Raw genomic sequence first — 20,212 nt, forward strand, 5'->3', positions numbered from 1 at the left:
CACTGACCAGACTTGCAGGCACTCTGATTAGTTATCCTAAATGAATTGCTAGAACATATGCAATTCATTCTCCATGGATCTTTCTCCTAATCTCTAAATAATAATAATATATTTCTTTTTTATAAATCATTTTGTGTTGCAGAATATGGTAAAGCATTGTTTTAAATTATATTGACTAAAATAAAATCTCAGAGGGTTCTAGATTTTTTCTGAACTCATAGAGAGTTCTAGATGTGAGTTCTAGATTTTTTTCTGACTCATAAGGGAATATTACTCTGTCCTCAAAGTTCTAAGCATCTCAGAATTCTGAGATACTTTCCTTTGCTCTTCTCTGGCCACCAGAAGGAAAGTGACAGTGCCTTATTGTTCCAAAGTATTTGCTGAAGGTAATTAATACCTTTATTGATTAAGTTGCTTCACTGAAATAAAAGGTGACTTTTCCACCAATGACTAGATTGTGATCTAACAGACTGAAAAATAACATGCCATATTCCAAAGAGAGAAGCCCAGCTTCTAAGGCAGAACTCCATCCCTCCCCAGCTTGTAAAAATCCACAGATTTACTAGTTTTTATTTAAATTTTGTGTTATGCTAGGCTGGATCTTGTCTTAAATCCTTGAACATTTCTAGCATATTCCATCAAATGCTTTGTAAGACTGAAAAAATTCTCTGTATGTGGGCTTTAGAATCTTAAGCAGTCAGCAGGACACTGTAGATACTGAAATTAACAGGACGTTGTCTGTGTCCTCAAGAGCTCATCTTAGGGTAGAGCTGATAAACACCCCACAATCCAAATCCATAGCAGTATACACAGGTGCTGTGCGAATACAAAAGTTAAACCAAGAAAATGGAAGAAGGGAGCCCCCAAAAGTCTTTGTCGTGGGCTAAGGTGAGGGGGAGTAGAGATCAGGGTATGTTTTTAAATCAGAGTTTAAACAAGTAAACAGAAACCACTCTGAGTGTATACAAGGGAAGGAATCGAATGCAGGAAATTGGTTACACAGGGTATAGGAGAGGCTGCAAAGCCCACCAGCTGGCAGCAAGGCAACCTTGAGGCAGGAAATAGCAGGAAACTCTAACCACTCCTAGACTGGAGGGACAGAGGGCGCAGGTGAGTCACCAGACTCCAGGGGTTGGGACTACTTGGTAGAAGATGTAACCGGGGAAGGCATGTCCAGTGGGAGCTGGAGCTATGGAAGGAATAAGGGAGGGATACATATTCTGGAGTCCTGCAATCTAGAGCAGAGCAAGGAAGGGCGAAGAATAGCTTTGAAAGGAGACAGTTCCAGGAGTGGCATTTCTTATTATATTTTTTCAAATGAAAATCTTTCATATTCATTTCTGAAGATACTCATTTGAGAATGCTGGAGAAGGAAGAGAAGAATGTTCCAGGCAAGGGTACTGAATTGGAAAAGAAAGTGACTTATTTAGAAAGTCACAAGTTTGCCAGTGCAGCCCGAGTAAAGAGGAAGATGTGGGACATTGTAGGACATGAGTTGAAGATTCTAACAGCCAAAGACATGAAATGACCAGTGGCTTCTGTAACAGCTTTACTTGCTCTCAATCATTAAGCCCCAGAGGCCCGGATAATAGAGACTACAGGGGTTAACATTGCAAAACGCTGCAAAAATAGAGACATGGGTCTCCATACAGGTGCAATGCTGCCCACCAACAAATGGCATTTCTATGAAGAAATACAGTCATCATCCTGGGCTGCCTTCAGTTAACTTACATTGTTATCTGATTCAGCCACAAAGCCAGTGGGACATCGATTCTGTCATTTTAATGAACAAATTAGATATTGCTCACTAACCCAAAGGAACCATCCTTGTGGCCAGTTTGGTGTTCAGAGGGCTAGATAAAAGGTTTTGTCTACTCCCAGGTAATAGGAATAGCTCAGTCCATGACCTCACAGGTGTCAGTCTCATGAATAATAGTTTGAAGTAGAGCCAGGGAGCTAAGAAACCAGTGAAAACACTATTGTGATGATGGTGGGGATGGGAGGTAAGCGTGATGATTACCAGAAGATATTAGGTGATAGAAGCACAGAGGAGGGGGATGAGATATTGAGAACCATGGCATGGTTTCTGGTTTGGAAAATTCTGCAGATTGTGGTTCCATTTGCTGGAAAGATAACCTTAGAAGAAGGAACATATTAGAAAGGAGGATGTTAAACTTGTTTTAGGTATTTTGAGATTAAGATACTTTTGATTTATCAAGATAGAGATGCTCATTAGGACAATGAAAATATGGGTCTGCGTTTTAGTGGAGGGAGTCTGGGCTGGAGATAAAAATTTGGGAGGAGTCATTGGAGTAGATGAGATCATTCACAATCTCTTTCAAGTGGTTTATGGTGAAAGAAAAGAAAGGAACAGGCCGTCAGTAATAAAGGGGAACAAGGATATATAATTTTGAAGATGGGAAAGACTTGAACATATTTGTATAATGAAGGGAAGGAAGAGGATATGCTGATATTACAAGAAAGAGTGTTAAATAATGGAGAAATCCATCATCCAGGTGGGGAATGGAGGAACGGAGCTATTCCTCAGCAGGGGAAGAGCCTGGCCTTCAAGGTCGAAGGCAGGTAATGGGTAGAGTTGTATGTCCAGGTCAGGGGTAGTGGAGGAAGAATTTGGTAGCAGTTCATACTTAAAAACTTACGCCTTTTTTTTTTTTTGAGATATGGGTAGAGATGTCATTTGATGAGTGAGGAAGTAGGAGGGTGACCAGGTTGTAGCACTTAAAGGCCTGTCCCCCAGGAACCCCTTCAGTCCTGGACAAGCTGAGAAATTTGGTCACCCCAAAGAGTAAAGGAAAGGGAAAGGCTTGAGATAAATGTGAAACATTAACAGTCATCACAGGAAGTGGGAGAGGGAGCTGACCAGAAATGCGAAGCTTACTGGCTGGTATCGAGAACTTACATGGAATTGGAGATTAAGGGGCAAGGTTTTGTGCACGGCTGTGGGGTTTTCTTCAGCAACACCTAAGCATACTGAGTTATCATTCCAGGAGAGAGTGTGTTCATGCATCCAGGTGTGTGTTTGAAGTACTTTTTAGAACCCAAAAGTATGTAGTATCAGAGTTCTCGTTCTGGGAACAGGAAAACAGAGTGAAATTAGCAGCAAGGTTGCCAGAACCCTGTTAGGTAGAAGATCATTCTGTCAACGATGTACATCACTCTTGCTTCATGTTTGCAGTCGACAAATGGCAGTTTTCACAATCCACAATATCTTGAGGTACCCCTGCCATGCGGGCATGTATTCATAATACCTCTTCTCTCTGGAAGGGTAATTTAGACACTGCAGTCATTAAGCAGTGTCTTGAGGTAAAAAGCACCCACATGCCTGTGGGTGAACATTATCTGTTACCCCAGCTCATCCACAAGGCGTGTCATGAGAATATTTTGCCTGTGTCATTGACTAAGTTATGTACCTTTATACTGGTAGGAATTTCACCTGTTGTTGGTTATATGAACAAAGAAAAATGTAAATATGTGATTGTCTGGCTGGTCATAGGGCAAATGGGGCAATGAGCTCCCATAAGTAGATTCAAGTAAATATCTGGAGTTTTGACTTTTCTTTTTGCAGCACATGCAGTTGGATAGCTCCCAAATAGATGAAGGGTTGTTTTCTCTGGTTTGTGCCCTATATCTAGGACAAACCAGTACCTCTAAGTTTCCAATACAGGACAGACAATAAGCCACAAAGGGGACCAAACTACATGATGAAAATCTGAAACTAAGCTTGGGTTGAGGAAGGTACTCAAATCTTGTCTGAAATTTGATGCAGCTTGGCTCAAAACTTTCCAGGAATTGGCTGAGGCTTTAGACAATAGACTGAATGGTGTTCCTCAAAATTCATGTGTTGAAGTCCTATCCCAGTACCTCAGAATATGACTGTGTTTGGAGACAGGGTCTTTAAAGAAGTAACTGAGGTTAAATGAGGTAATACGTGTGGGCCCTAACCCAATCTAACCGGTGTCTTTATAGGAGAGGAAGTTTAGACATAAAAAGAGGCACTAGGGATGCTGGAGCACAGAGGAAGCACCCTGTAAGGACACAGTGAGAAAACAGCCAACTGCAAGCCAGGAAGCAAGGCCCCAGAAGAAAGCTAACCCACCCATACCTTGCATATTAGTCCATTTTCACGCTGCTGATAAAGACATACCCAAGACTGGGTAATTTATAAAGAAAATGAGGTTTAATGGACTCAGAGTTCCACGTGGCTGGGGAGGCCTTACAATCATGGCTGAAGGTGAAAGGCACATCTTGCATGGTGGAAGACAAGAGATAAATGAGAGCCAAACAAAAGGGGAAACCCCTTATAAAATCATCAGATCTCATGAGACTTATTCACTACCACGAGGACAGTATGGGGGAAACCGTCCCCATGATTCAATTATCTCCCACCAGGTCCCTTCTACAACACATGGGAATTATGGGACCTACGATTCAAGATGAGATTTGGGTGGGGACACAGCAAAACCATATCACCTTGATTTCAGACTTCAAGCCTCCAGAATGCAAGAACATAAATTTTTGTTAAGTCACCAGGTCTGTGGTATTTTGCTATGGCAACCCTCGTGAAGCAATACAGGGAGGTTTAGAGTTTGAATTCTCAACAACTTCAGAAATTGTGGATGCATCAATTATTTTTTAACGTGAAAATGAATCTAGGAGATATCTACTGAGAAACTCTGTTTTTACCTCAACTTTATTTATCAAATATTTACCAAACATTTTTGTAGCACTTAGCAGGAGAGGTGCCTTCATTATTCTTTTCAGCTCTTAAACCTTTCTTACTCTCCTTCACCTCGTCCTGCATGTCTATAAGCGCGAACTCTATTGAAGTCATTTTAAAAATACACTATTTTTCAAATGACAATACTGCATTTTTTTTCTTTTTCTTTCTTTCTTTCTTTTTTTTTTTTTGAGACGGAATCTTGCTCTGTTGCCAGGCTGGAGTACAGTGGCGCCATCTCGGCTCACTGCAAGCTCCGCTTCCCAGGTTCAAGTGATTCTCCTGCCTCAGCCTCTCGAGCAACTGGGACTACAGGCGCACAACACCACACCAAGCTAATTTTTGTATTTTTAGTAGATACGGGGTTTCACTATGTTGGCCAGGATGGTCTCAATCTCTTGACCTCGTGATCCACCTGCCTTGGCCTCCCAAAGTGCTAGGATTACAGGTATGAGCCACTACACCCAGCCGACAATACTCCATTTTTAACGAAGTTTAGTTATGGAGTCTGTAGGCAGGGTTTTCATTATGTTTAGTAGGAATTAAGCCTGTATGTGAGCATAAAGCTATAGTCAATAATTTTACCCCCTTTATGACTGTAAAATTTGGGCCAGTCACCCTACCTGGTTAATTCTCTGCAGTATTTAAGGTATCTATCTCAAGTTGATTCTAAGGTTAGGCACTTTTAATTAAAAATGCATTTCTAAAATACTTTAGAACATTTAGAAATGTCAGCATGACGATGTTGACAGGGGAATCTCCATGGCATTAAGTTGTGTGTTTCTGTGTTGAGAGCAGATGCTACTAAAAGTATCGCAGAAGCGCAAAAACATCTGACATTGCCCGGTGAGCCTATTTGTAGCTGTTGGCTTAGAATAATCTATACTGACCTGTAAGGTCCGCTTTAGTAACAATAACAGGTAATGTACTGAACCTGCTATAAGCAAAAGGATGTTCATTAAATGTTTGCCTTTGGTGAATTTTCCTGGTCATTGTTCTTGGAAATAATACGGAGGACTGGAAATTGGGAAATTTTATAAACTAATCCTAGTGTTCCCAGGCTGGGCGCAGCAGCTCAAGCCTGTAAACCCAGCACTTTGGGAGGCCGAGGCAGGCGGATCACGAGGTCAGGAGATCGAGACCATCCTGGCTAACACGGCGAAACCCCGTCTCTACTAAAAATACAAAAAAATTAGCCAGGCGTGGTGGTGGGCACCTGTAGTCCCAGCTGCTGGGGAGGCTGAGGCAGGAGAATGGTGTGAACCTGGGAGGCGGAGCTTGCAGTGAGCCGAGATCGTGCCACTGCACTCCAGCCTGGGTGACAGAGCAAGACTCCGTCTCGAAAAAAAAATAAAAAAATAAAAAAATAAATCCTAGTGTTCCTATTTACTTATTGTGTGGTTTTGGTAAAGTCAATCATAGTGAACATCAGTTTGTTCACCTGTAAAATGGGGAAGATTCTATCTTTGAATGCTACTTTAAAGGTGTTATGAGAAGAATATTAAAAGACCAACGTGTATGTGGTGCTTTTAAAACATGCTATCCAAATTTAAATATTATATTGTTATTGTAATTGCCATTAAATGGTTTAATTTAGCAACACTTTGAAATGGCTTTCTCCAATTCTAATTGAAGTAGCAACTTGGGATCCCTTCAGTGATGAAAATCATAGCAAACACAATCTCTTATTGATCAGGTTTCCCAGAAAGACCCCTGGTTCCACCATATTTCAGGGAGTATCTACTGGAGCTTGGTCAACATCAACTTTTGTTTTTAGTCTTACATTAGACAATGCTGTTTTTCTACAAATGTCCCCAATATTACCTTTTTAAAACTCAGTTGAAGATGTAAATGTTATCTCAGATGAAAAACTTTCAGAACCTAATGTCAAGTTGCATGCGGGAATGTGTCATCTCAAAGTGTTGTGAGAAAGGCTCTTTCCCCTAGGGTCTCTGATTCTATCCATGCTGTACAACACCAGTCTCCAACCCCTGGGCCACGGACCCTTACTTGTCTGTGGCTGTTAGGAACCAGGGCACCCAGCAGGAGGTGAGCCACGGGCAAGTGAGTGAACCAGTAAATCTTCATCTGTATTTACAGTCCCTCCCCATCACTTGCATTACTGCCTAAGCTCTGCCTCCTGTCAGATCAACTGTGGCATTAGATTCTCACAGAAGCATGAACCCTATTGTGAACTGTGCATGTGAGGGATCTAGGCTGTGCACTCCTTATGAGAATCTAATGCCTGGTGATCTGTTACTGTCTCCCATCATCCCCAGATAGGACCATCTAGTTGCAGGAAAACAAGCGCAGGGCTCCCACTAATTCTACATTATGGTAGGTTGTATAATTATTTCATTATATATTACAATGTAATAATACTAATAGAAATGAAGTGCACAATAAATGTAATGCACTTGAATTATCCGAAAATTATCCCTCCACATCATGCGAGTCCATGGGAAAATTGTCTTATATGAAACTGGTTCCTGGTGCCAAAAAGGTTGGAGACTGCTGCCGTACTACATTTATTTGAATAGATTAATGAATATAAGCCTTATCACTATGTTTTGTTTTTTTTTTTTTTGAGACAGAGTCTCTTGCCCATGTCACCCAGGCTGGAGTGCAATAGCACAATTACGACTCACTGCAACCTCTGACTCCTGGGTTCAAGCAATTCTCCTGTCTCAGCTTCCCAAGTAGCTGGGATTATAGGAGCGAGCCACCACACCAGCTAATTTTTTTTTGGTATTTTTAGTAGAGATGGGGTTTTACCATGTTGGCCAGGCTGGTCTTGAACTCCTGACCTCAGGCGATCTGCCCACCTCGGCCTCCCAAAGTGCTGGGATTACAGGCATGAGCCACCACGTCCAGGCTATGTATTAACAAAGTGCATTAAGCATGTTGCTGTCACTTCCTGTGTTGAGACATAGGTAAATGTTCATTAAATATGAAATAATTCCCATAAAATGCTGCTTTTGAACCCAAATTATAATTTGGGCAATGATCCAAACCATCTGGAGTCTTTGTCATGGATCTCAGGAGTGTGGGCAAACTAGAGTACATGTGTATGTGTGTGGAAGTGTGGGTTAGGGGGAGTTGTCATTGCTGGGATTGGAGGCTTGGCATAGATTTAGAGGAGTTTAACATTTGAAAACCCCTCTATTATGGAAAGTTTTCAAATGTACACAAAAGTCAAGAGACTGGTATAACAGACTTCCATGTATTCATCACTCTACTTCAAGAATTACAATGATCAACATTTTGCATTTGCATTTTGGTCCTTTTTTTTTTTTATTTTTGAGATGGAGTCTCACTCTGTCACTCAGGCTGGAGGGCAGTGGCGCGATCCTGGCTCACTGAAAACTCTGCCTCCCAGGATCAAGCAATTCTCCTCCTGCCTCAGTCTCTTGAGTTGCTGGGATCACAGGTGCGCACCACCACCCTGGGCTAAGTTTTGTGTTTTTAGTAGAGATGGGATTTCACCATGTTGGCCAGGCTGGTCTTGAACTCCTGACCTCAAGTGATCCACCTGCCTCGGGCTCCCAAAGTGCTAGGATTGCAGGTGTGAGCCACTGTGCCAGGCCTGACATTTTGGTACTTTTGTTTCATGTATTCCCTCCCTTCCCTAAGTCTGTCACACACACTCTCTCTCTCGCTCGCTCTCTCTCTTCCTCCACTTGCTCTAATATTTTAAATCAATCAAACACTAGATATCAGTTTATCTCACTTTTAAATATTTCAGAATGCATATTTAACTAGTAGTGATTTTGTTTTGTTTTAATTTAAAAAATAACTTTTTCATTTTGATGTAATTTTAAACTTATAGAGAAATTGCAAGAATAGTACAAGAAACTCCTGTAATCCTTTAATTCTTTACTCAGATATCACTAATTGTATACATCTTAATTTTCCTTTATCACTCTGTTTTTCATATAATTGATATACTTTGTTTTCTGAATCATTTGAAGGTAAGTTGGTGACAATATATATATTCTTTTTTTTTTTTTTTTTTTGAGATGGAGTCTCACTCTATCACCCGAGCTGGAGTGCTGTGGTGTGATCTTGGCTCGCTGCAACCTCTGCCTCCCAGGTTCAAGCGATTCTCCTGCCTCAGCCTCCTAAGTAGCTGGGATTACAGCTGTGTACCAACACGCCCAGCTATTATTTTATTTTATTTTATTTTATTTTATTTTATTTTATTTTTGTATTTTTAGTAGAGATGGGGTTTCACCGTGTTGGCGGGGCTGATCTCGAACTCCTGACCTCGTGATCTGCCCACCTTGGCCTCCCAAAGTGTTGGGATTACAGGCTTGAGCCACCGCACCTAGCCTAACATTATACTCTTTTACTATTAAATCAGTATGTATGTTCTATGAACAAAGAAATGTTGTTATATAACCACAGGATAACTATGAAAATCAGGAAACTTAATATCAATACAATACTATTATCTAATCCCCAGCCCATATTTAAATGTTATCAATTGCCACAATAATATCCTTTATATCATTTTTACCCCTAATCCAGAGTCTACTCCAGGATTGTACATTACTTCTTGTCACGTCTCTTTAGTTTCCTTTAATCTGGAACAAGCTGTTCCTCAGCCTTTTTTGGTTTTTGTTGACCTTGACATTTTTGAAGAGTACAGACCAGTTGTTCTGTGGAATGTCCCTTAGTTGGGGTTTGTTTGATATTTCCTTTTGATTGGATTTAGGTTATGCTTTGTTGGCAGGAGCACTGCAGAAGGGATGTTGTGCCTTCAGTACACAGTATCAGCTGGCACATAATGTCCGTTTGTCTCAGCAATGGTGACATTTACTTTAATTATTTTGATCACAAGTTACTGTCTGCCAAATAAGAGTTATTTTGAGATTATTATAGAAATATTCTGTTCTGCATCAAACGTTGGTCCATTAGTGTTAACACCCATTGATGATTCTCTAACTCCATTATTTTAATATATTTATCAGTTGGCATTCTATTGTAAGGAAGCATTTTGCCTTTTTCCAACTTTATTTATTCATGCACTTTTTTTCTATTAAAATGGGCTAATGGATTCTTTTATTTAATGGGTTATGATTTATTACTATATTATTTATTTTTTGATGCTTTTTTTTTCTTTTTAGATTTGGTCAATGGAAACCACTCCAAGTTACCTCCTGTGTCTTTTCGATGTCCTAAAAGAGGCTTAACTTTGTACCTTCCATGTTGAAATGGAGACTGAGCTCAGCTCTCCTATTCACATGCTAAGTTTCCAGTTACAATAGACTTTCTATCCAAATCCTTCCTTTTTTTTTTTTTTTTTAAAAGTACATCCTTGGAGTGAGTCAGTGTGGTTAGTTGAGTAGCAGGAAAAGATTTAACTGTTCTCATGTAGGGGAAAGCCCAGTTGATAGTCTCTTTTGGCCCCTCATGGCCGCTATCACGAGAAACATTCCCCACTAAAAAGTCAAGCAACAGGCTTCCTAATTTCTGGCTTCTGTCTGAAACAGGCTTTTTGAGCCAGTTAATTGAACATAAATTACAACTGACCTTGGAGGGATTAACTTGCATTTTGGGGTCATCTCAGCTGCATAGCTATTTGGGTGCTTTCTGACTGCTTGTGCTTTTATATACTTTTCAGCTAAGTTAGAGATGAAAATGTACCACTCAGTGACATTACAGGAATTGTTGACCTTCTCTGGTCAGTTTGAGGTCAAGGAATTAATGCAGAGAATTACCAGAAGATCTATAAATACACGTTTCTTACATGAGAGGTATCATTAAAAAATGATGTTCATTTTACTTAACTGTTTCAGATCCATGTGTAGTATGTGAATAGCAGTCATATAAAGGGAACTCTAGTTTTGGGGAACAATAAAATAAGATTTAAATTAAACGTTTAAAAAACTACACTAGCAGTAGGTTTCCTAAAATTCCCTTGTGACTGAGCCATTTTAATGTTAAAAATAGGATGATAAACCCATATTCAAAAGAAGAATTATTGTTCATGTCAAAGGCTAAAAACATTCTTTTGAGGTCAAGTCAGTCCTGAAAGTAATCAGTGTGGCCCATGTCTTATGTTTTGCTCTGCCTCTTTGGTATATCAAGAGGTTGAATTAGAAATTGGTATGCCAGCTTCTCCTTGATGAATGAGTGGGAAGAGCATGACCTTCAGAAACACAGACCTGGGACCAAATAACACTACTGACATTGATTAGTTCTCCATCTTTGGCAAGTTCTTTTATCATTCTAAGTGTCTGTTTTCTATCTATGAAGAAAATGTCTCAGTCTGTGCCACTATAACAAAAATACCCAAGACTAGGCAATTAATAAGAATAGGAATTTATTCCATACCATTCTGGAGGCTGGGAAGTCCAAGATCAAGGCACCAGTAGAGTCTGTGTTTGTGACAACTGCTGTCTGCTTCCAAGACGGTACCTTGTTGCTGCATCCTCATATGGCAGAAGAGGCAGTCTGTGTGTCCTCACATGGCAGAAAAGCAGAAGGACAAAAAAGGGCCTACCTAGTTCCCCCAGTCCTTCTAAAAGGTCATTAATTTCATTCATAAGGGCTCTCTTCTCATGACTTAATCACTTCCAACACCTCACATTTTAATGCTGTTGCTTTGGGGGATTAAATTTTAAGATGAGGCTGGGCGCGGTGGCTCATGCCTGCCTGTAATCCCAGCACTTTGGGAGGCCAAGGCGGGTGGATCGCCTGAGGTCAGGAGTTTGAGACCAGCCTGGCCAACATGGTGAAACCCTGTCTCTATTAAAAACACAAAAATTAGCCAGATGTGCTGGCAGGTGCCTGTAATCCCAGCTACTCGGGAGGCTGAGGTAGGAGAATTGCTTGATTCGGGAGGCAGAGGTTGCAGTGAGCCGAGAATGTGCCATTGCACTCCAGCCTGCGTGACAAGAGTGAGACTTCATCTCAAAAAACCCCAGAAAAACAAAAAAACAAAATTTAAGATGGATTTTAGAGGAGACACAAATGCCAAGCCATAGCAAACTCAACAATGTGCAGGGTTAGTGCAAGGAATGAAAGCTATATAAAACTTTTATACCAAGTATAATGCCAACACAGAGGCATAGAGGAGGCTCTCCATGATTGTGATTTCTCTTTTTTTCCCACCCTTTCTTCTAATAGCATAACAATCACCACCATTTATTAATTGCTTAAAACATGCCAGAATCTGATTTGAGTGCTTTACATGCATGATTTGTGAGAGAGGAACTATTATCTTCAATTTGCAGATGAGAAAACCAAGATTTAGACATGTTAAGGACCCTTGACCAAATGTTGGTGCTGGGGTTTTACATTTGATGCCAGAGTCCAAGCCCTTAATCATCATGCTCTCCTGCCTCTCATAACTATGTCTCTTTTAAACCATACACTTTCTCTAAATTTGAAGTAGTAACTCACGGGTTTACACAATACTATTGAGTGGGTGCAGTTGAGAGTCCTAAGGTGTGGCAAGGGAGACTTAAAAACCTGAACTAGAAGCAGAAATAATTAAGAGTGCAGGAGAAAAGACAGGGAAAGGTCAGAGATAAACTTATCAGGTAAACAGGGGCTGAATACCACTCTCTGTGTCTCTGGAGCCTTTGATTGCTTACTTGAAGTTAGAGATTAAAAATATACATGATTATCCTACATGTTTATCTATGTAACAAACATGCACATCCTGCATATGTATCCCAGAACTAAAAATAAAAATTAAAAGAAAGAAAATGATAAAAATACACATGATTAGTCCTAATATTAGGTAGGTGCAAAAGTAATTGTGGTTTTTGCCATTAAAAGTAATGCTACTATTTAGCTACTGTTTCTTGAACATGTATACATCAGGCATTATGTGCTTTATGGGATTGTCACTTTAAAGTTACAGGAGCCCTATGAGGCATATTTCCCCCTTGTTCTTAGAGTACGCCTTGAAAAATATTTCACACCCCAGTCATTTAAGCATTTCTGTAGCAGAGGCTGCTTGTTGTCTACCCCAACATTGACTTTCCCTTCCTTCTTAAGAAGGGAACCTGAGTTTTAGTCAGGCCCCTTGCCAGGCAGAATTCGAGATAATTCCCAGCCTCTCCTGCAGCTAAGTGTGGACATGTCTGAACTCTGGCCAAGCAGATAGAAACAGAAGTGCTCTGTGGGGTTCTGGGAAAGCTGTTTAAAAGGAGTGGACTCTGCTTGGGGGAAACCCCTTTGCTCTTCTTTTTTTGAACTTTTATTTTAGGTTTGGGGATACATGTGAAGGTTTATTATGCAGTTAAACTCATGTCAGGGGGGGTTTGCTGTACAGATTATTTCTTCACTTGGGTATTAAGCCCAGTACCCAATAGTTATATTTTCTCCTCCTCTCCCTCCTCCCAAACTCCATTCTCAAGTAGACCCCAGTGTCTGTTGTTTCTCTTGCCCTTCTTTTTATTTCTACTTGTTAGGTAGCAATTGGAATGTTACAGCTAAGTTTTAGCAACTATCCTAAACCATCGAGTGGCATTGACGATAGAAACCACCTGGTAAGATGGCAGAGCAGAAAGAGAGAAGACTAGGTTACTGATGACATCTTAAAGTTGCTTTACCAGTCCTGGGCTGCCTCCCTCTAGTTTTACACAAGAAGGAAACTTAATTTCTTCTTTCCTTCTTTCCTACCTCCCTTCGTTCCTCTCTCCTCTCCCTTCCTTCCCTCCATTCCTTCCTTCCTTCCTCTCTTCTTCCTTCCCTTCCACCCTCTCCTTGCTCTTTTCCTTCCTCTCTCCCCTTCCTTCCTCCCTCTCTCTTTATTTCTGTTTGCCACTGTTAGCTTGCTTTTTTCTCTTATATATAACCAAGTAATTCTAATTACAGCTTCCAAATATATGCCTAGCTTCCTGTGGGCATATCTTGATATATTGGGAAAGCCTGTAAAGCTCTGAGGTTACTGGTTCAACCTTTAGTTGAATACACTTAACTTACAAAATATTAAGCTATCATGGAAATACACACAGTTGAATATTTTGGGCCTTTATGTCCTTTAACATCTTTTTGGGCTACAGCACTTTTAGCAGTTAGAATATATTGACAGCAAACTCACAGTGTTTCCTCCATTTAATTCAAAGAAAGATGCATTTGGAAGAAAATTAAAGTCTTGCTGCTCTAAACTATTCCTATAAAGTCCATCAGAGACTGCACATCGTTCAAGGTCATGCTGCAAACAGATTCGGAATGGGCAAGATGCTTTTGTGATGAAAGTTATTGCATCAAACAAAACTCAAAATTTATTCCAGGTGGGATCCACCACCCCTCCCCATGCTATCTTAACATCAAACACAAAACTGACACAAAACAATTCTGTCCTCCTGATATACTGAACTTTGGGCACAAGTAGAGGGTGCATTACAAAGACATGGTTTCATACTTGAGTACATGTGTTGGGGAAAAAGTTTTCCACTTAAATGTGATCCATTTAAGGATAGCTAAATATATGCTCTCCTGCTTATTATATTTACAATCATTTTTATCTCAGCAAAAGATGCTGTTATGGTGAAAATATATTACACATGTCCTTTGCTGACTGAGAGAGTTAAAATGAATAGAACAATAAAGAAAAAAAGAAGAAGAAAAAAGGAAGAAATCCTAAACTTTATTGCCAAAGCCTTACAAAGACAAATATGGGCAGAACATATATTTAGAGACCTTGGCAAAAGAAAATGGAAATATGAGCAATTAGCTGAATATATTTAGCCAAAAATGGTTGAGAATATTTATTCTCTTTTAAAATCTTAATTGTCCATCCCGTCGTAGGCTAGATTGACTGAATTTTCTGGACAAAGTCATAAAGTTTCCTTAACTTTGTGGGAACATGGGTTGTAACTACTCAGTAACCACTACCAGTGACTATTTGTTAAAAATACACCATTTGCAAGACATTGCATTAGCTTTGTGGTCATAAATGTATTGTCCTATGAGTTAAATGAAGATTGTTAATGGACTCATAGGATCATACAATCTCAGTATTTTCAGGAAATTTAGATATATCTATTTCAATCCTTTAAATCCCTCCCCCAGCACCATTTTAAAGATGAGGAAACTGAGGCCCTAGAGACTTTTCAAAATCTCACAACTTGTACATAAACTCCACTTGTAAAATAATGGTGTTTTGTACTTTTTACTAGTTTTCTAAAGTGGCCCAGTGGAGAAAAGGAAGCTTTTGTTCATTACTTTGAATTTGTTTCTAGTTATGTTTGGTATCATGCTTTTCTTCTGGAAAGATTTATCAATAAGAAGATTATAAGATCAAAACCTTCCAAGGGTGAGTTACCTTAACCTTGTTGAAAATTATTGATATTAGATATTATTACCTATAAGAGACATGGACTATGAGAAAAGACTTCTTTTATTTTCAGTGATAGTACACTAAGCCTTGTAGCAAAACAGAAATAGTAAACTGCATATTGATTCCAAAGCAAATCAAGTTAAGTATCTTCTATGGACATATAGTCAGATAATAAAACTCAAGAAAATAATGTATGTTCTTCTCTGTTTTCCACTAAACTAGGGAATCTCCTTTAAACTTTGTATGCAGTATGGAAATAAGGTTTCTGAAGTAACCATTACAACATGTTTTCATGAGTGTTTATTAAGAAGCCCCAAACATTTTTCAGTAATAAATCGGCTGACATATCCATAGATTTAAATCTTTTATTGGTTACTGATTAACATAACTGCTCTGCCTGACAAATCTTTATAATAAATAAGCCAACCAGTGAGCATTTCACAATGAAACCAACTTTGTTTAAAGGACTATCACTAAAACAGGATTTATGCGCTAATGAATTTTGCAATCAGCATGTGGTGGTGTACAAGTTTCAACATGAATCTAAAATGCAGAAATCTGAAGACACTGAAGTTATTAAAAATCACACCACAACACAACTACTTTTAATTAAAAAGAAATATATTACATTCGTATTTAGCAGCAGCATTATAGCGTATGAAAAGGAGAACTCAGGGTTACTCTTTGAACATATTCTAACAAAATACAGCTGTTGCTGCTATACAGGTTAATGATTCCTTCTCAAAATAAAATTCCTTGCTATAGTGATTCTGATTTTTAAAAAAATCAAAATAAGGAACAATGTTTTTTGTATACACATAAGCCAAGTAAATAGACAAGATGATCCATGATGGTGATTCAGTAAAATAAAAGTTGCTGATGGATATATATATATATATACATATATATATATATATACTTTCAGTTTGATTGAATTCTTCTTGGAAAGCCTATAGAAGTCACTGGACTTCTTGTCTCTGTTTGAATTAATTAAATTGTTGACAGTGAAATTGTCAAAAGTAGCTTTGGTATAAAAAATGATTCCCAGATCTTTTTCTCTAAAACTTAAAAAAAAATCCTGACAAACTTGAAAAAGTTTTAAACATCTGTCTGGACAGATGTCAAAATGCTGAGTGTTATACCATTATACTGTGTCAGTATCTGACACTATGTTATTACTCTTCAGTTAAATATTCACAGTGAGATTTTATGATCTTTTTAAAAGAAAACTTGCATGAGAGAGTAACTTTATCTTGCACAACACATAAGCACTTTAAACAAATGAATTTCAGAGTAAACAATGAAAAATAACTTTTTGTGCTAGTTTTTATACCATATTTTAATCACTTGGGATTTTCACATCAGGATTTTACAAATCATTCAACAGTATGTAATGGATAATGAACCATGTTATTAATTTTGAATATTTCCCTGGAAAGAGAACTTTAGTGAGAATCATACATAAATAGCATAGAGAATTACATATGGGGAAAAGATGGCATTGCTAAATCCTAATTGTTGTGGAGTATATATTATAGTAAAATAAACAATGTTTTTCAAGAAATGAGAGATGAAAACTGTCACGATATTATAAAATGCAACAGTAATTTAGCAAGGAAGACTTCACTGAAAGCAATATTTAGATCCAGACACTGGGTTGCTGAGATGTTATTTCATTCTGTGTTCATCTCTACCCCAAATCTTCTAGATTAGATATATTATAGTTAGTTTATTTGATGAACATTTTCATATTGGGATTATAAGTGCCTGAAAATAGAATTTTTAATGCTTTTAATGTGATTAAGGAAGCAAAACCTCTCTTTTCTCCCTAGAAATTACTAGCCCCTTTTGCACTAAATACCTACATCAGACAAACCGCCACAATTTCCTTGTATTGCCAGAGAGAATTCTTCAATAAAACACTGCAATTCTCTGTCAAAGAGACTAACAATAGCAAGAGCATCTCACTATTTTCTTAATGAGATGTGAATGGAAGTGTGAAGGTGAAAAGACAGATTCTAGGTTGGCAGATTCTAGGTTGACTGGCAAGGTGAGACCACTTCTTTAGCAAAAGGAACCCCCCTCCTTGAAATGTCATGTTTGATATAAACAGAATCTTCCCTCCCTTCCTGCCTTCCTTCTTCTCTTCCTTTTCATCCTTTACTTGGGGAGTCCTCCTCATTTGTCTTAAAAATTCTGAGATGAATTCATTTGCCCTCGAAGCCATCAGATTTGATGTTGATAAATTTAAGTGGTTTAACTTTGGAAAACATCAACTTATGTGTTAATTTCCTTCGTAGCGATAGCCTGGCCTCCAGGTCACACTGCGTAGCCTACCTGCTATCAATATCATCATTATTGTTTTAATCGTTAAATTAAACTGAATGAAGTTGGTGATGAGCTGTCAAGAAGTCTCAGAGACAAGGGCAGGCCAGTGCCCCATTTCTTCTTCTAAACACTTTGTACCTATTCATAAAAATTGAATGAGATTGTGTCTGGGAAACTATTGTACACTGCAAAGCACAAACATAAGGGCAGATGATGCCAGTGGTGATTATGATGATGCCCAGCAATGTTGTTCATTTTTAGGCTAGAGATCTGGTAGCAGCCTTATGTTTTCTGCTTAGGATACAGTCTTGAATAGCATAATTTGTACTGATATAAACTAGATTTAGCCATTCCCTGGGATTCTAAACTATTCTCTTATGATGCCTCTTCCACTATTGTACAGAACTATTTAGCTAGGACAAGAAAAATTGATTATTTTTCCCTTCTTAGTTTTCTAAATGACATTGCCCAGATTAATTAGAAAATTGCCCAAATCTCTCTTTTCTCTACTCTGCTATGTAGCACTTGCAAGAAAAAAAAAAAGCCAATTTCATGCAGAAGTTGCTTAAAATTAGTCAAAAGCAACCCCTGTTCTAGTCCTGTACACATTAAGTAATTCTCATTGATCAAAATAGGAAGTGAGCCTGAGAACAAGGGAGAAGAGAGGAAGTTTGCAGATGGACTTTCTCCCCCAGTGTCATTTTCAACCAGGTAAAATGGAGTTCGAAAGGCCCAAATTCTCAGCAGATTTGCACAGCACAGTAATAGCCTTTATGCTTGGAAATTTATGGGCCATGGACAGTTTATAAGAAACGATGTAGTTCATCAGAGAGCTAGACTGATGGGGCATATGGGAGCATTCTGCACAGGAAGTTGGGTTTTGGAATAATACTTACTTTGATAGAGTTGTTTTGTTAGCTAAGTAAAACAGTAGGGAAGCCAATGGCCACTTAGGCTTCAGACATAAATATATATTTATAAGTCACCCAGCTGCCTAATTGAGAGCCATAGTGTTTTCACTGAGTATATCTTCACCAGAAAGCAGTAGAAACAACAATATCACCAAGAAAACCCCAGTCTTGGCATAGATTTATTTAATCAGTCTTTGATACTTTTGAGATAATTGAATGCTCTCTAAATGTCGCTCTTTTAAAGCCAGAGGGTGAGGGGATGGTTAAAAAGAAGTTTTTTTGTTTTTTGTTTTTTAAAGTTGGGGTTCTTTTGTATTTAAGGTGCAAAGATACGAAGTTAAGGTTTATGTTACACTTGGGGTAGCAGAGGGCTATTACCAGAGATTTGAAATTGTGGTTCTATGGACTCCTGATGGGAAGAGTGGGGAAGCTCAGAGGAGCAAGGGTTGGGCGTACAATTGTCTGGTGCTTTCAGGTTTCACAGAAGAAGGTTAAGCAGGAGGTGGCTTGTTAAATTTGAGCAGAGAACTGGAAAATAAGATTTCACACTCCTGAGACGCGGAAGGCTGGTGAGTTTGGAGTTTGTCTGGGAGATTTGAAAAAGGTCGAGTGTGCTATAAAGTTTCTGAAATTCTATTTTAGTGCTTACGAACACGAAAAAAGTAGGTGTTATGAAAAAAAGCAAAGGGCATTTTAAAACTCAAATAAGTATTTGGCATGTCGAAATAAAATACACATCCACTTCTGCTTGGCTGGACCTCCTAGAATTCAGGCCTTACTAACGATGTCTTGTTACTGTGTCCTCCATTCAAGCCCTTTCTTTCTTTTCTTAAGCTTTTTTTTTTTTTTTCCTCTTTATGGCCACTGCTTTAATTATTTCTCTCTTTGCGTTAAGACCCTGAGCTGAACTTGTGTTGCAAGTGGCAGCATGGGAGTCAGAGATTTGGGTTCTAGTCTGAGGTCTGTTTCTTTGTGTGATCTTAAGGCAGGACACCAACTCTCATTTGGCCCTTGCCTTCCAACTTGGAGGAACTGGGGGTCAGGTCCCTGAGGTCTTTCTTAGTTCTGACATTATTTTATCTTAGAGTCAGTTTTGTTACTTCAATTCTTTCCTCCTCTTCTGGGACAAGCGTGACCCTTTTATTCAATTGCTTGCTTTCTTCTTTTCTTTTCTTTTCCTTTTTTTTAATTAAAAAAAGATGGATCTCACTATGTTGCTCAGGCTGGTCTCGAACCCCCAGGCTCAAGAGATCCTCCCACTTCAGCTTCCCAAATTGTTAGGATTACAGGTGCGAGCCACCATGCCCAGCCAATCAATTGCTTTTTTTTTTTTTTTTTTTTTTTTTTTTTTGAGACGGAGTCTCGATCTGTCGCCCAGGCCGGACTGCGGACTGCAGTGGCGCAATCTCGGCTCACTGCAAGCTCCGCTTCCCGGGTTCACGCCATTCTCCTGCCTCAGCCTCCCGAGTAGCTGGGACTACAGGCGCCCGCCACCGCGCCCGGCTAATTTTTTGTATTTTTAGTAGAGACGGGGTTTCACCTTGTTAGCCAGGATGGTCTCGATCTCCTGACCTCATGATCCAACCGCCTCGGCCTCCCAAAGTGCTGGGATTACAGGCGTGAGCCACCGCGCCCGGCCCTCAATTGCTTTTTATAAAAGTATTCATTAATGCTATTTGATCTCTGTTTACATTTAATTCTCTTTGTCAATTGTTTTTCTATTTTTTTGCTTCTGATTTTACTTGTATTCTCTTTGCTCCTTGGTTCCCTCTTTTGAGGCTGATTTTATCTTTAAATTGTTATCTAATGTAGAATATAATATTCCGTCTCTTCAAGCATTTATTTTTTCCTTGTCTTCAATGTTTGATCTTTAAGAGCTAAAGTACAACTAAACACATTTTAGGCATTTTATAAATATTTCTTGATTGATTG

At 39.0% G+C, this 20,212-nt stretch overlaps 1 long non-coding RNA gene across 1 annotated transcript in view; it reads left to right on the top strand.

Annotated features, from left to right (window-relative positions):
* The window catches only part of LINC01798 (long intergenic non-protein coding RNA 1798), a 121,559-nt gene that overhangs the window by 12,292 nt on the left and 89,055 nt on the right, over nt 1–20,212 (top strand). The window lies entirely within an intron of this gene.

This window comes from Homo sapiens, chromosome 2 (assembly GCF_000001405.40).
Source record: "Homo sapiens chromosome 2, GRCh38.p14 Primary Assembly".
NCBI classification, from domain to species: Eukaryota; Metazoa; Chordata; class Mammalia; order Primates; family Hominidae; genus Homo; species Homo sapiens.